The 14743-nt window shown below is 34.0% G+C and overlaps 2 protein-coding genes across 33 annotated transcripts in view, besides 3 other annotated features; one reads left to right on the top strand and one right to left on the bottom strand.

Moving 5' to 3' along the window:
- CAPS2 (calcyphosine 2) overlaps nt 1–1033 on the bottom strand; it is a 114923-nt gene extending 113890 nt beyond the window's left edge. For 17 of the 24 annotated variants that reach the window (NR_149156.2, NR_149158.2, NR_149155.2 and 14 more), the window contains exon 1: nt 970–1033. Coding sequence is in view for 2 of the 24 variants with exons in the window: in NM_001355026.2 (NP_001341955.1) it covers nt 970–1002 (33 nt within the window). In the remaining 22 variants the exon portion in view is untranslated. Of the gene's footprint in view, nt 1–453 lie in introns of all 24 variants that reach the window. The other 7 variants (NR_149160.2, NM_001355023.4, NM_001355025.2 and 4 more) reach the window with 2 other exon arrangements.
- Nucleotides 1023–1195: a silencer, noted in NCBI's record as "fragment chr12:75784671-75784843 (GRCh37/hg19 assembly coordinates)". NCBI's record gives its function as "represses an EF-1alpha promoter that drives an FKBP-Casp9 reporter gene in an ReSE screen in K562 erythroleukemia cells {active_cell/tissue: K562}" and the evidence as "EXISTENCE:reporter gene assay evidence [ECO:0000049][PMID:32094911]".
- Nucleotides 1023–1282: a biological region, named in NCBI's record as "ReSE screen-validated silencer GRCh37_chr12:75784671-75784843".
- Nucleotides 1153–1282: an enhancer, noted in NCBI's record as "active region_6668". NCBI's record gives its function as "activates an Ori minimal core promoter by ATAC-STARR-seq in GM12878 lymphoblastoid cells {active_cell/tissue: GM12878}" and the evidence as "EXISTENCE:reporter gene assay evidence [ECO:0000049][PMID:35858748]".
- GLIPR1L2 (GLIPR1 like 2) overlaps nt 1221–14743 on the top strand; it is a 41600-nt gene continuing 28077 nt past the window's right edge. For 2 of the 9 annotated variants that reach the window (NR_072995.2, XM_047428339.1), the window contains exons 1-2: nt 1221–1482; nt 13149–13278. Coding sequence is in view for 3 of the 9 variants with exons in the window: in NM_001270396.2 (NP_001257325.1) it covers nt 1249–1482 (234 nt within the window). In the remaining 6 variants the exon portion in view is untranslated. Of the gene's footprint in view, nt 1483–10439; nt 10607–13148; nt 13330–14743 lie in introns of those variants that run through there. The other 7 variants (NM_001270396.2, NM_152436.3, XM_011537949.2 and 4 more) reach the window with 5 other exon arrangements.

The raw sequence follows: 14743 nt of genomic DNA on the forward strand, positions 1-14743 counted from the left end.
TCTGTGTCTTGTCTACTGATCTTTCTCAATCACTTAAAACTTACTACTATGCAGTCATAGTAGTAAGTATTCAAGGGCATAAATGAAACCATCTTACATAGGTCTATTGTTTTTCAATTGTGTGCATCACAGACAATTTTTAAAAGCACTTTTCTTTTTATAAATGTTTGGCTAACCTGTTACAATGTTTTGTAGTAAAATTCTCTCCCAATGTCAATTTTCCATATCTGCTTAATGCTATTAAGCACAATATGTAATATGCAAACGTGTATTCCAAAACTAATACTTGCTTTTTTTCCATGCTTAGAATTTAAAGTCTTCAAAGCAAGTTGGTTTTGTTTTGTTTTGTTTTTGAGGAAAATGTTTGGAGGTAAACAGATCAGACCAAAATCAGCTAGATATTAGCCAATTTTGTCTGGAACAAAAAAAGAAAACAAAAGAGTTCGTTCTTACTGTGAATGCCACAATTAGTGAAAAAGATGAATCTTGATATTCCGGGCTGTCTGAATTGTGCTGATGAGAGAAGAAGTAGAAATGTTTTAACCTTTGAAGAGTTTGGTGATCCCTACTCTCCCTTCACTCCCATTTATTTTGTGGTTTCCCACAAAGGTTCATTTAAAAACTGAAAAAAATCTCATCAATTAAGTTGGCCTTAAGAACTTCTTTGGCCTTAAGAACTAGCAATATTTCTGTATTCCATTCTGTCCCTGAGGAAAATAAAAGGCAGGCCCTGCACCAAATTTCCAACTCAACAGGTAATGGGGAAAAAAAATTTAATTGAATTTGTATCTGTATCGCAGAAAAATCATTTCACCTGGCACAATTAGAAGGTTCCTCAGACCTGTTACTCAGCAATTGGCATTTACCATACAAACTGATGACTCATTAATAACGACATATCATTCAGTGTCAGAAATCAATTCGGGATAACATTTCACTACATTAGTTTAGTGAAAAGGGCTTACTCACGTAACACAAGTCTTTCTTTAGTTTGTCAGACATCTATTACCAGCTTTCTTCACTCTGCAGGTCTAGCTTTCCCCTCCTCTCCCCCTCCCCTACCCACTCTCCCCTCCCTCTTCTCTCCTCCCTCCTCCTTACCCCCTCCTCCCTCCTTTGTTTTTCCCTCCTCCCTCCTCCCTTTCTCCTTCCGGGAGGCGGGACAAGGCTTGCTTGCGTCCTCCGTAGATTGGCAGGTCACTGGGACGGCCAGCGCGTGCGCACTGGCCTGTCAGCGGCCGGTGGACCATGGAGGCCGCAAGGCCCTTCGCCCGGGAGTGGAGGGCCCAGTCCCTACCCCTGGCAGTAGGGGGCGTTTTGAAGCTGCGGCTCTGTGAGCTGTGGCTACTGCTACTGGGTTCTAGTTTGAACGCCAGATTTTTGCCAGACGAGGAGGACGTAGACTTTATCAACGAGTACGTGAACCTCCACAATGAGCTGCGGGGCGACGTCATTCCCCGAGGGTCTAACTTGCGCTTCATGGTGAGGCCGGAAGGCGGTTTGCCGACCCTTCCACTACCGTTGCCACAACGCCTCCCTGGATCTCGGGTAGTTGGGGCCACTGCTCTGAGGCTGAAGGATCGCGGAGAACCGCACTTTTAGCTTGGTTTTTAAAGTACACGTGAAGTTTACACAGAGAAAAACTGCGGACACTCTAACACATGCTTATTACCATGATATTACACAGGGCCAGGACTAAGGTGATGGAGGCACTGGCCTGAAGTGCAGATTTTAAGGGGGCGCCAATTCAAGAAAATGATATTTTAATGCAACGGGTTTTTAAAAATTAAAAATCAGTGCAAAAATATCAATATCAAGGGTAAAGAAAATGTTAAAAAATTTAACAAAGACAGGTTCCTTGGGTCTGGATTAGGGAAAAACAAGTGCGACACTCTCAGGGTGGTGCAAATCAAGATGAGATTCTGTTTGTATTTGAAATTTTTATTTTTAGCTTTTTCCATCATCGATGTCACATTAGCTTTGCCTTTTAAAAATGTTTGTTATCTTGATTTTTTTTTTTTGTGCCCATTCCAAATTTGGCTCCTAAGGAAGTGTCTCAGTTTCCTCACCCTAGTCTTGACCCTGATTTTGCCTTACCTTACAATGCGGTTCTTGCTTTCCCCCTCTTTTACACCCTATAGTCATTTAACAACTCAACTATTCCCTGGTTGCTATTGAGTTTTCCTGACTGTCATTAAAATGACTGAAAATCCGGCAAATAAATAACTGTCCTCTTAGGGAATTAGAAGCTTCAAACTTATAAATTATATTGCAAGGACTACTTTCCTAGACATGTCTTTTCTTCCTTCAGCATTAGTTCTTAGCACAAATTTCAGAAATGGGATAAATAAATTAAGGGTATGATATTTTTTATTAATTTAACACATAGCAATTGCTATGCTAAAGGGTAGTGCCAAATTTAGCAAATACCAGCTGTTCTGTTTTCACCACATCCTCACTGATTTGGACATGTTCAATTACTTGCTAAATGAATAAATTACAAAAATGGTCATTTGTTTTAATGTTGATTTTAAAATACTATTTTGATAGGACATACTTGAGTTCTTTCTTCGTCATTTCCTTTACCTTTTATATTGTCAGCATTTCCATGTCAGATTATATGCTGTCTTATAGAACTATGCTAGCATTTGGTTCTATCTGCTGAAGATACTTTTTTCTAAGCCAATTCTTTTTCTTTTGAATTCAATTATAGAGTTTGGGGATATTTGGGAGTTTCAACTAATTTCCCATTTTTTGTGACTAATTCTGTTTCTTCCCAATTTGAAGATTATCCTTACTCCTGAAAATTAATAAACACATAATACTTTCTAATACAACTTTTCATAGGTTTTCTATCTCATCTCTAAAAATTATATAGTATTTCAAACATAAGGTATATAAAATAATATACCTGTATACCCACAATCGATATTTTTAAATATAGACATTTTTAAAGGAATAGTATTTGATATATAGGTTAAAGTCCCACCCTAAATTTTTACCTTTTTCTTCTTTCTTGAAGTTAATGTATATTTTTCCCATGTATTTTATTAGGACATAAATATTAACTGTAAATAGTATAGTCTATCATAATAGTATGGCCTATTTAAAATGTTTCTTTAGCAGATTTGGACATCACTCAGCTTATTTAAACTCTTTTATTGGTTATTTTTAGTATTTTAATGTATGTACTTTTTATAAATTCCAAAAGTTAATACCTGTAAACTCCACCCAAATATTAATAAGATCTTAGAACACAAATTCTGAATACTTTCCATCCTTATTCATGCTATTGCCGTGTAGTACTTTTGTTCTACCTTGCTTTTAAATACCAAAAAAATTGTTGTTTTTAAAAAATTGTATTACAATATACAGGACATAACATTTACCATTTTAACCATTTTTAAGTGTATAGTTCAGTGGCATTAAGTACATTTGCATTGTTGTGCACCCATTACCACCACCTATCTCCAAAATTTTTTCGTCTTCCTGAACTGAGACTCCATACCCATCAAATAATTACTTTACTCTCCATCTCCCCTCCTCCCAGGCCTCTATCACCATTCTACTTTCTATTCCTATTAATTTGACTTCTTAAGGTACCAAATATAAGTGGAATCATATAATATTTGTCTTTGTTACTAGCTTATTTCATTTGGTATAATGTCTATAAAGTTCACCCATGTTGTAGCATGTGTCAGAATTACCTGTCTTTTTACAGCTGAATAATATTCTACTGTATGCATATACCACATTTTGTTTATCCATTCATTGGTCAGTGGATATTTAGATTGCTTCCATTATTTGGCTGTTGTGAATAATACTGCTATAGACATGGGTGTACATTTATCTGCTCCAGTTCCTGATTTTGCTGTTTTTGGGTATATACCCAGAACTGGAATTGCTGTATCATATGATAATTCTGTTTAATTTTTCAAAGAACCCCCATTCTGTTTTCCATAGTGGCTGCACCATTTTACATTCCCACCAAGAATGTTCAAGGGTTCAATTTCTCCACATCCTTGATAACACTTGTTATTTTCTGTTTTATTTTCCTTATTCCTCTTTTTTTCTTAATGATAACCATCTAGCAGTTATGAAGTGATACCTCACTGTATTTTTTATCTGCATTTCCCTAATGATTACTGATATTGAGCATCTTTTTATTTGCTTCTTGACCAAGATTTTCTCTTCTTTGAAGAACTATCTATTCAAGTCGTTTGCACATTTTTTGGCCAACTTGTTAGATTTTTTGTTGTTGAATTATAGGAATTTTTATAGATTCTGGATATTAATCTTTTTCAGATATATGATTTGAAAGTATTTTCTCCCGTTTTGTAAGTTGCCTTTGCACTCTATTGATAATATCCTTTGATAAACAAAAGTTTTTAACGTCAATGAAGTATAATTTATCATTTTTTGTTGTTATTGTATGTATTTTTTGTCGTATCCAAGAAGTCATTGCCAAATTCAATATCATGAAGCTTTTCCCCTGTGCTTTTTAAAGGTTTTATAGTTTTAGGTCTTTGAGTTAAGTTTTGTATATTGTGTAAGGTAAGGGTCCAGCTTATTCTTTTGCATGTGGATATCCAGTTTTCCTAACTTCATTTGCTGGAAAGATTGTTATTTTCCCCATAAAATGGTCTTTCCACCCTTGTTAAAAATCGTTTGACCATATATGCTGGCATTTATTTTGGGGCCCTCTATTCCATTCTGTTAGTCTAATATGTCTGTATGCTATTAATAGTTCCACAATGATTACTGTAGAATACTGGTAAGTAGAAATTAGGAAGTGTGCATTCTTCAACTTTTTTCATCTTCTTCAAGATTATTTTGGCCATACAGGGTCCTTTCAGATTTTTTACGAATTTTGAGATGTATTTTTGTATTTCTGCAAAAAAAAAAAAAAAAAAAAACATTATTGGGATTTTGATATGGGTTTCCTTGATTTGTAACATTTTGGGTAGAACAGGCATCTTAACAATATAAAGTATTCCAATACTTTAACACAGTATGTCTTTTCACTTTCTAATATCCACCTTAATTTCTTTCAGTAATATTTTATTTTCAGTATATATGTTTTTCCCTCTTTGGCTAAGTTTATTCCTAAATATTTTATTCTTTTTGATGCTATTGTGGTGGAATGGTTTACCTAATTCCCTTTCAGATTGTTTATTATTAACATATTGAAAAGCAACTAATTTTTGTGTGTTGATTTTGTAACCTGCTACTTTTCTCTAATTTTCTGAATTTATTTATTGGTTCTAACAGTTTTTTTGTGTGTGGAATCTTTAGGGTTGTCTACATATAAGATGACTATGTGGCTACATTTCTTCATTTTGTTAATGTATTCTATCACATTGATTAATTTTTATATATCGAACCATTCCTGCACCAAGGAGTAAATTCCACTGGGTTATCATGTATAATTCTTTTAATGTGTTGTTAAATTCAGCTGTTTTTAATGTGCTGTTAAATTCAGGTTTTTGTTGAAGATTTTTATATTAATATTCCTAAAAGATACTGACCTATAGTTTTCTTATAGTATCTTTTTCTGGCTTTGGTATCAGGGTGATGCTGGCTTCATAGAATGAGTTAATAAATATTCTCCTGTCTTCATTTTTGGGGAAGAGTTTGAGAATTGATGTTAATTCTTCTTTAAATATATGTCTTGAACTCCTATTAGAATTCACCAATGACTCCATCTGGTTCTGGGCTTTTCTTTGTTGGGAGATTTGTATTACTGATTTTTATTATTATTATTTTATGAAATTATTATTTTATTATTTTTATTAAATCTTCTTATTAGTTATAGGTCTGTTTAGATTTTCTGTTTCTTCGTTACTACCTTTTGGTAGGTTGTATGTTCCCAGGAATAAGTCTTCTGTCTTTATTTCTTACTCAGTCTTGCTAAATGTTTATCATTTTTGCTGATCTTTTTGAAGAACCAGCTCATAGTTCTGTTGATTTTCTCTGTTGTTTTTCTGTTCTCTATTTTATTTATCTCTGCTTCAATCTTTATTATTTCCTTCCTCTGGTAACTTTGGGTTTTGTTCAATTTTCCTTTTCTTTTTACCTATGGTGTACAGTTAGGTTGTTGATTTGGAGTCTTTCATCTTTTTAAAAAAAATGTAAGCTCTTACACTCATACATTTTCCTCTTAGCTCTGTTTTTTGCTAAATTCCATAAGTTTAAATAGTTGTGTTTTCATTTTCATTTTTTCCCAAGGTATTTTCTTTTGTGATTTCTTTTTTGATTCATTGCTTAAGAGTGTGTTGCTTAGCATTATTATTTCATTTTTTAAATTATTTTTTGAGACAGGATCTCACTCTCTTGCCCAGGCTGGAGTGCAGTGATGTGATCTCAGCTCACTGCAGCCTTTAACCCTGGGGCTCAAGTGATCCTCCCATCTCAACCTCCTAAGTACTGGGACTACAGGTACTCACCACCACGCCCAGCTGATTTTTGTATTTTTTGTAGAGGCAGAGTTTTGCCATGTTGCCCAGGCTCGCACCTGGCCCATTATAATTATTTATGCTAGCAACTATTACTTCTTGTATTGCACTACCACTTTCTGGAATCAGTTTCCTTGTGCCTAAAATACGTCTTTTAATAGCTCATTCAGCAAGGGAGTGTGAATAGTAAACTTAATATTTCTATATGTAAAATAATCTTTACTTCACACTCTTGAATGATATTGTTCTCTCTCAGCACTATCTTCTGTCTCCCACTGTTGCTTTTGAGGTTTCTTTTGTTAGCTGAACTCAGAGGTTCCCACAGTATGGTTCCTATACCAGCAACAACAGAATCACCTGTGAACTTGTTAGAAATTAAAGTTCTCAGGACCTATCCCAGACTTACTGAATCAGAAATCCTGGTTTTGAAACCCAGTACTCTGTATTTTAATTAAAGTCCTCCAGATGATTCTGAAGTGTGCTAAAGTTTGAGATCCACTAGTCTTTTGGTTGTTATTTTAAAGATGATTTATATTTTCTCTCCAGCTACTTTAAATATTTTATATTTGCTGTTCTGTAGTTTTACCCCATACTAGTACTAAGCATGCATTTATTTTTATTTATTTTGTTCAGGACTTTTCTTTTTAATCTCTGTATCCATGTCCATTGTTAAGACTAAAATTCTTCAGTATTATTTCATAGAATGTTGCCTCTTCCCCATGCTCTCTAGTCTCCCTGTCTTGAACTCCTATTAGATGTATGTTTGACTTTTTCATTCCTTTTCTCCACAGCTCTCCATTTTCTCCCTACAGTCCATCTCTTTTTCTGTTTTCCTTCAGAGTCATTGCTTTAGAACTGCTGTTCATTCACTAGTTTTCTCTTCAGATTTTTATGATATATTTAACTGGCCAATTGATTTTTTAAAATTTCTAGACTTTTTTTTTAATTTGCTCATATTCCCCCAGTGTCCTGTTTTCTCTTATGATTTCTATTTTTACACTCATTTAATCATTTTAAACATAATTATTTTATATTTTCATAAAATATTTTTAGTGCTTTATTATTTTAGTTTCTTTGGGTGCCAGTTCTCTTGTTTTAGCTACTGAGCCTCTGTCATGTTTATAATTTTCTATCCTATGCTTATTTTCAGCAGAGATTGTGTGTGTGTGAAAGAGTCCCATATTGTCCAAATAGTGGAAAAATAAATATTGCTACAGACTAATTTTTATTAGCTTTTGCCTTACTCCCCTGTTACAGTCAGTTTTACATTTATATTTTTTATATTTATAATGTGTTAAGTTTTGATATTTAAAATTTGTTTGGGTATTCTCAGCATATATAGGCAATGTAAGTATAGTGTCCACTTGTAGGCATAGGATAGATCTAGAACTGATTTCTCACATGACATGACTTTTTTCCATCTGACTTTCTGTCACTTCCTCAGACTTCTAGGAAGGGTTTGGTGGTCTGCTTCATTTAGGAAGAAGTCGGCATCCTGATTTTTCCGCAAATATTTCAGTCCCAGAACTTGTCTTAGATGGTTCTATGGCTACATCTTCTTCCTATATTGTTGGCATTTATATCTAATCTGATATTTCCTCTCCTCCGATTAGGCACATGAGTTCACCACTCGGACTTTTAACTTTTCTCTTCATTTCTGGCACCTGAGTATTACCTTTCCTTCCTTTGAGCTCAGCTGTGGATTTAAAAAAAAAAAAAAAAAAATGCCGGGAGCGGTGGCTCACGCCTGTAATCCCAACACTTCGGGAGGCCAAGGCGGGCAGATCACTTGAGGTTAGGAGTTCTGACCAGCCTGGCCAACATGGTGAAACCCTGTCCCTACTAACAATACAAAAATTGCCGAGCGTTGTGGCAGGCGCCTGTAATCCTAGCTACTCCGAAGGCTGAGGCAGGAGAATCGCTTGAACCCGGGAAGCAGAGGTTGCAGTGAGCTGAGATCGCACCACTGTACTCCAGCCTGGGCGATAGAATGAGACTCCATCTCAAAAAAAAAAAAAAAAAAAAAAACTTTTATCATATAAAGATTGAATTATATGAATTGCTCTTCAACCATTTTTGACCTAGAAAACGCAAGCAATTTCATAGGATTTAAACTAAACATTTTATTCCCATTTTTATGGGTTTGTAATATTAGAAGATTGTGTCTTAGCTTCGTCCTCTTTGTTGCTTCAACTTTCTTACATTCTTGGATGCTAGGAGCACAGAATCCCTCCCTTCTTTTTCTGAGCTGTTCTGGGGCTGAGTGATTCCTAATTCTAACCTGACATGGTAGTACTAGGAGAAGGCTCAAGACTTAGACTCCTCTCATGTACCAGATAATGGGCTGTAGTTTTATATGTAATATCAATTTTTAATTTAATATTACAAATAAATCTTCCTCCTTTTTTAAAAAAAGAAAGAACAGTGCAGTCAATGTTAACATTTTCTAACAGCCACTTCAGTTATGTTCCCTTTCTCCATCCCCAGAGAAAATAACCTTTATGAGTTTGATATGAATCATTCTAATACATTTTTTAAGGTTTTGAATATATATGTGATTATCTAGACCAAAAACACAATGTTTGGAGGTTTCCGTCTTATATTTCTATAAGTGGCATTATGTGGAATTTATCATGTTACTTGGTTTTTCATTCAAAACTATACATTTGAGATTTATTTGTTGATATAAATCTAGTTAATTCAGTTTTATTTGCTATGCTATTTATCCCTTAAATGTACTACCTTTTTTACCTATTCCTTTATTGATGGACATTCAGGTTGTTTTAAAAATAAATAAGCATAGCCAGGATATTTTGAAAAATGAGGGTTATTGAACATATTAGATTTTATAGCATATAATAAAGCCTCACTAAGTAAAATAATACAGTATTAGTATGTTAAAAGATATACCATTGAAAGATATAGAGTTCAGAAATAACCCAAATATATGAGTGTTTAGCATATGATAAAAGTAGCATCTCAAATCTGTGAGCTATAGATAGACTTTTTAATAAATTGGTGTTGATCAATCTGGGTAGTCATTTGAAAAAGGTAATATTGCTTCATCCATACATCAATATAAATTCCAACTAGTCAACAATTCCCCACAGACAAGACAACAAAACTATTGTTGAACTTTGGAGTTTTACTAGCCTGATAGGTAAAATATGATCTGTGATTTTTATTTCTCTTATTATAAGCAAAGCTGTGTATCCTTTCATGTGAATAAGGATCTGTTAGTATCCTTTAATGATTATTTTTCTATTAGTTTTTTTGCCTTTTTTTCTCCCATTATTTATTTGGGAAATGAGCCCTTCGTCTTTGGTATGAGTTGTAATTATGTTCCCAGTTTGTCAGTTTTTTAAATCTACATATGTATTTTTTGCTATTCAGACTTTTTAACATTTTTGTGTAGCTGACTAATCAGTTTTTTAAAATTGCTTCTGGATTTTGTGTCAAAGTCAAAGACCATGCCTACTCCATGTACTACTGGTGTGAAAGCAAAATGATATAGTCCTTGTAGAGAAGAATCTGGCAATACCTACTACATTACAGATGTATTTACTCTTTGGCTCTCTGGTCCCATTTCTGGTATCTATCCTAAGGACATACTATACAAGAAGGAAATGGTATCCCTAAACGGTTATTCACTGTACCATCATTTAATATTAACAAATTATTGGAAAGATACTCTAATCTCCAGCACTGAGGGTTAACTAAAGTAAGTGTGGTTCACCCACATAAAAGAATACCATACACCTGTGGGGAAAAAAAAGAATGAGAACGTTTTTTATTTTTTTATTTTTATTTTTTGAGACAGAGTCTCGCTCTGTTGCCCAGACCGGAGTGCAGTGGCGCCATCTCGGCTCACTGCAACCTCTGCCTCCTGGGTTCATGCCATTCTCCTGCCTCAGCCTCCCGAGTAGCTGGGACTACAGGCACCTGCCACCACGCCCGGCTAATTTTTTTTTGTATTTTTTTTAGTAGATATAGGTTTTCACCACGTTATAGGATGGTCTCAATCTCCTGACCTCGTGATCCTCCCGCCTTGGCCTCCCAAAGTGCTGGGATTACAGGCGTGAGCCACCGTGCCCGGCCTGAACGTTCTTTATACTAACAACACAATATCTCATGGATCTTGGAAAAGCAAGGTACATTATGATACGTTTTGTATACGAAAATTTAAAATAATGTATATTTGAATAGAAAATAGTGGACAGATCCACGGAATTAATTAGTTACTTATAGAAGTCCTGGGGAAATAGGATGGTGGAGAGCAAGACAACATGACTTCTCAATGATTTTATGTGATTTTGTTTTTATAAAGTATTAGATATCTGTTCAAAAAAATTATTTTTAAAACAAAATATTCTTTAATGCGTGTTGATAATTTCACTGGAGATTATAAGTGATAAAGCATTCATGAAACAAAAAATATATACAGCAAAAAAATGTAACGGCAACAATTTAAAACAATATCCTCAGTAAAATACAGTATTTAGTGTATTAGGGCTAGCATTCCTGAAGTCTGATCTTTGTGTACGATGGCATGAAATGGGCAAACAAAACATCAAAATGGAAGTGAGCATAATTTTATATATATATATGTGTGTGTATTTTTGTTATTTAATCATATGTAATTTTAAACATGGTAATTGAAGTTAAAGATAGTTAAGATAATCATAAAGATTATCATAATGATTTGATGTTGGTGGCTAGCAGATGGGAAAAGTTACTTGAACTTCCAGATTTACAAAAGAGAAGTGAGCAATACAAAGAAACTTCATCAAGCCTGTAATATAAGGAGGGAAAAATAGGAAATGACTTTTAAAAAACTGTAAACATAAAATAATATTTTAAAATAAACTAAATATGTTATCATAAATATGAGTGAATTTAATTTCTTTATCAATAATTTGCAAAAATATATACCTGAAATGATTGAAAATAAAAATATGAATAAAAATATTTATGAAACTTCCAAGTTAAAAAAGAGAAACAATATTATAAAATAATATAGAAATGAAGACTAAAGATAAAAAGAAATACTATGTATTGGAAAAAAAAAGGTATAATCCATGAAGATAAAATAAAGGCCTTCGCACTGGCCAAAATAGAAAATATATCAAGTGAAATTTCCTAAAAATACGAAGAAATATTTTTTAAAACAAGATAATTGTGGGATGTTTTCTATACTTCTTTTAAAGTCTTATAAAATAGATTTGACAAGTAAATTATATATAGCAACGAACAAATAATCCTGTCAATAAGGGATTCTAATATCCATGAAAAACATCTGTTTTATGCTCATAAAGAAAAACTTAAGTAGAAATTTTACACGCTAAATTTCTGACTAGAATGTAATAAAACTAGAAAGAACAAAAAATGTTGGTTGATAGAATCTTAACTAAGGAATTAAGCAACATTCTTCAAATTATCTTCAGATCAAGAACAAAAAACAAAATTTCCCCAAAATATGGGCACAATATCAAAACACATGACATAAATAAAGGAAAAGGCAATTAGCTGTAAATGTCATTTTACAGAAACTGACTGACAATAAATGAACTAAAAAATTCAAAGAAAAGAAACAAAGAATGAGAGAATAGCTGTATAAGTAAAATTAATGAAAAATAATTTTTTCTAATAAAACAGCATTCTTATTTGCAAGAACTGGAAAAAAAATAGACACATTCGTGATAAGCCTCAGGGAATAAAAAGAGAAAACAAATTATTTTAGAAGTGAGAAAAAGATTTATAACCACAGATGGAGATGAGATTGCAAGAAGTGTAAGACAATATTTATTATGTCCAACCATGTTAATAATATTAGGTATCTAGATGAAATCAAGTGTTTTTCTAGCAAAATGTAAGTTGCAAAGTAAATACAGAAAGAGAAAACCGTAACAGCAATGCTTTAGAAGACAGCAGCAAGATGTTGAAGATCTGTTCTTTAAATAGGCCTCCATCTTAGGTAACAATAAAGATAATTCTGAATAATCTTCAAAGAACAGATAATTTCCAATGATATTAAAGTGTTTCTGTGTGTTTAAAAAATGGAAGATTCAATTCATTTTAGAAATCTAGAATAACAAATCTCCAAATGTGATAAACATAACAAGGAGAAAAAGGGAAAAAAATGTAGGCCTGTTTTATTTATCAATATACATTGGACAGTAAATAGAATAATAATATTCTCTAGTCTCTTAATAATGTTTTCCTTTACTCTTCCTCAGTCACATTGTGTACAACTCATTACTTAAATTTGTTCAGTTTCCAAAATCAGTGTTATGTATATTTTGACGAAGACTCTGAGCCTTCTTGAATAGACCTTGACCTTGGGCCCTGTCCTAAAGCCTACATTGCCCAGTGTTATTGCAAATCACACCTAGCCCAGTTTAGACAGCATCTGTTGCCCTTGATGTCTAATCACTCTGGCCTGCCTTCAGCAAGAATCTTTGTAGTCAGTTTAGCAAGAATCCCCCTACCCTTGATGTCTCCTTTTAGTAATTCTCCATGCACTGACTTCCTCACTCTGTTCCATGGGTATAAATCCCCACTTATCCTTGCTGTATTTGGAATTGAGCCCATTCTCTCTCCTCTAACATGATAGTCTTGCCACCTACCACAATAGCCCTAAATAAAGTCCTCCACTTTGTTAACAAGTGTCATGAACAATTTTTCCTTTAACAGTTATGGTACTGCTGTGACTCCGATGGTAGCAGATTCATCATTGGATTTCCAAACCTCTCACCCAGGACTCCAAGTGCACCCCTTTGAAGACTTTGTCTTCACTCCTGAATGATTGATTGGGGATCCATTGGTGAGTCTGACTCCTGAGCCAGTGCTCCAGATGACAGTCTGTTGAAGGATGGTGAGGATAGATTTTTTGATTTTTAAGCTTCTGTAAACTCTCTGAAGCTGGATTACAGTTTTAGATTTCTTTGTCTGAAAGGTCCCTTCTAGGCTTGAAATTTATTTCCTGTTCTTTCTTTCAAATGGGGATTCACTTATCAATCCTGGACTGAAAGTCTTTCTTCCTGGCTCTTTGTTTTGTGGGGAGATTCACTTCCTGAGTCCTAGGCTGGACATTTGTCTTGGCTTCTTATAAGGTCTCCTTGTGGTCTCCATTTGATTCTGCTTCTCTCCTGGGAGCTTTTCAGTTTACTAACCCCCGTCCCGTTTTTGAGCCCCTGGTAACTCTATACTCCACTAACTATGTCGGCTTCCTTTTTTGTTGGTGTGAATTTAACTAAGGATAATTTGGAACATCAGTGGCCTCTTTGGGAAACTTCAAATCTCTGCACACTGGCTCCTCTAAGACCCCTCCCTTCCCATCATCTTTGCTCCTCCTTCCTCCTTATACCACCTTTGATCTTCCCTTCAGTTCCCTTGATATGTCCACCTTCAACCCCCTACCTCCTTCATCCTTCTGTTCACACCAGCCTCTACAGTTACTAGAACTTTAGATCCCCTGCCCCCATTAGAGGCTTTCAAGAAACTCAGGAACCCTCAGAAGCAACTACCTGAGACTAAAAAGGAAAAATAACAAATTGGAAAGAGACTAGATATTTGATCTACCCAGATAGGCTTTGGAAATATCTAAACAACTATTTGATTTTCCCACAGTCTTTCACCTAAAAAGTAGTTCACAGTGTCTGTGAGATTACATATCAAGACAAAGAAAGCCTTAAAGGCTTTTCCATAAATAATGGTAAAAAGCATTAGCCCTCATATTGAGTAGATCACCTTAACTTGTTACTTCTGTTAAAAACATAATTCCAAGTATTTTATATAAATCAGTGAGTTTTCTATTATTGTGTTTCACTTGACTTGTGGCTAAAATTTTAGAATGGACTATAAGATCTCTATATATGTCTCTCTCTGTGTGTGTATACATATGTGTGTTATGTATATGTGATATTTTCTTACCTTGAGATCGTATTACAAATTTAATTTATAAAATCTCTTAAAGGAGGTCTACTAAAATTGCCTTAGAGCTCAACAAGTCTTATATAAATTAAACATTCCTCAAACTCTCAGAAAAATACAAACTAATCCACATTCTTTTCAGATTCACTTGACTTGGGTGAATCTTTGCCAAATAAGACTGGTTTAGTAATGTTGGTTTAATAAAACACAGCTGTGTCTTCTGAATTATCAGAATTAATTATCATACAAGCATATATTTTTATTCTACTTGGGTTTACTAAGTCAAATAAACTTGTGATAGCTACTAGATATTTAAGATTATAAAAATTATAAATTCAGCCTAAGAACACATGTAC

This window comes from Homo sapiens, chromosome 12 (assembly GCF_000001405.40).
Source record: "Homo sapiens chromosome 12, GRCh38.p14 Primary Assembly".
Classification (NCBI taxonomy): Eukaryota; Metazoa; Chordata; class Mammalia; order Primates; family Hominidae; genus Homo; species Homo sapiens.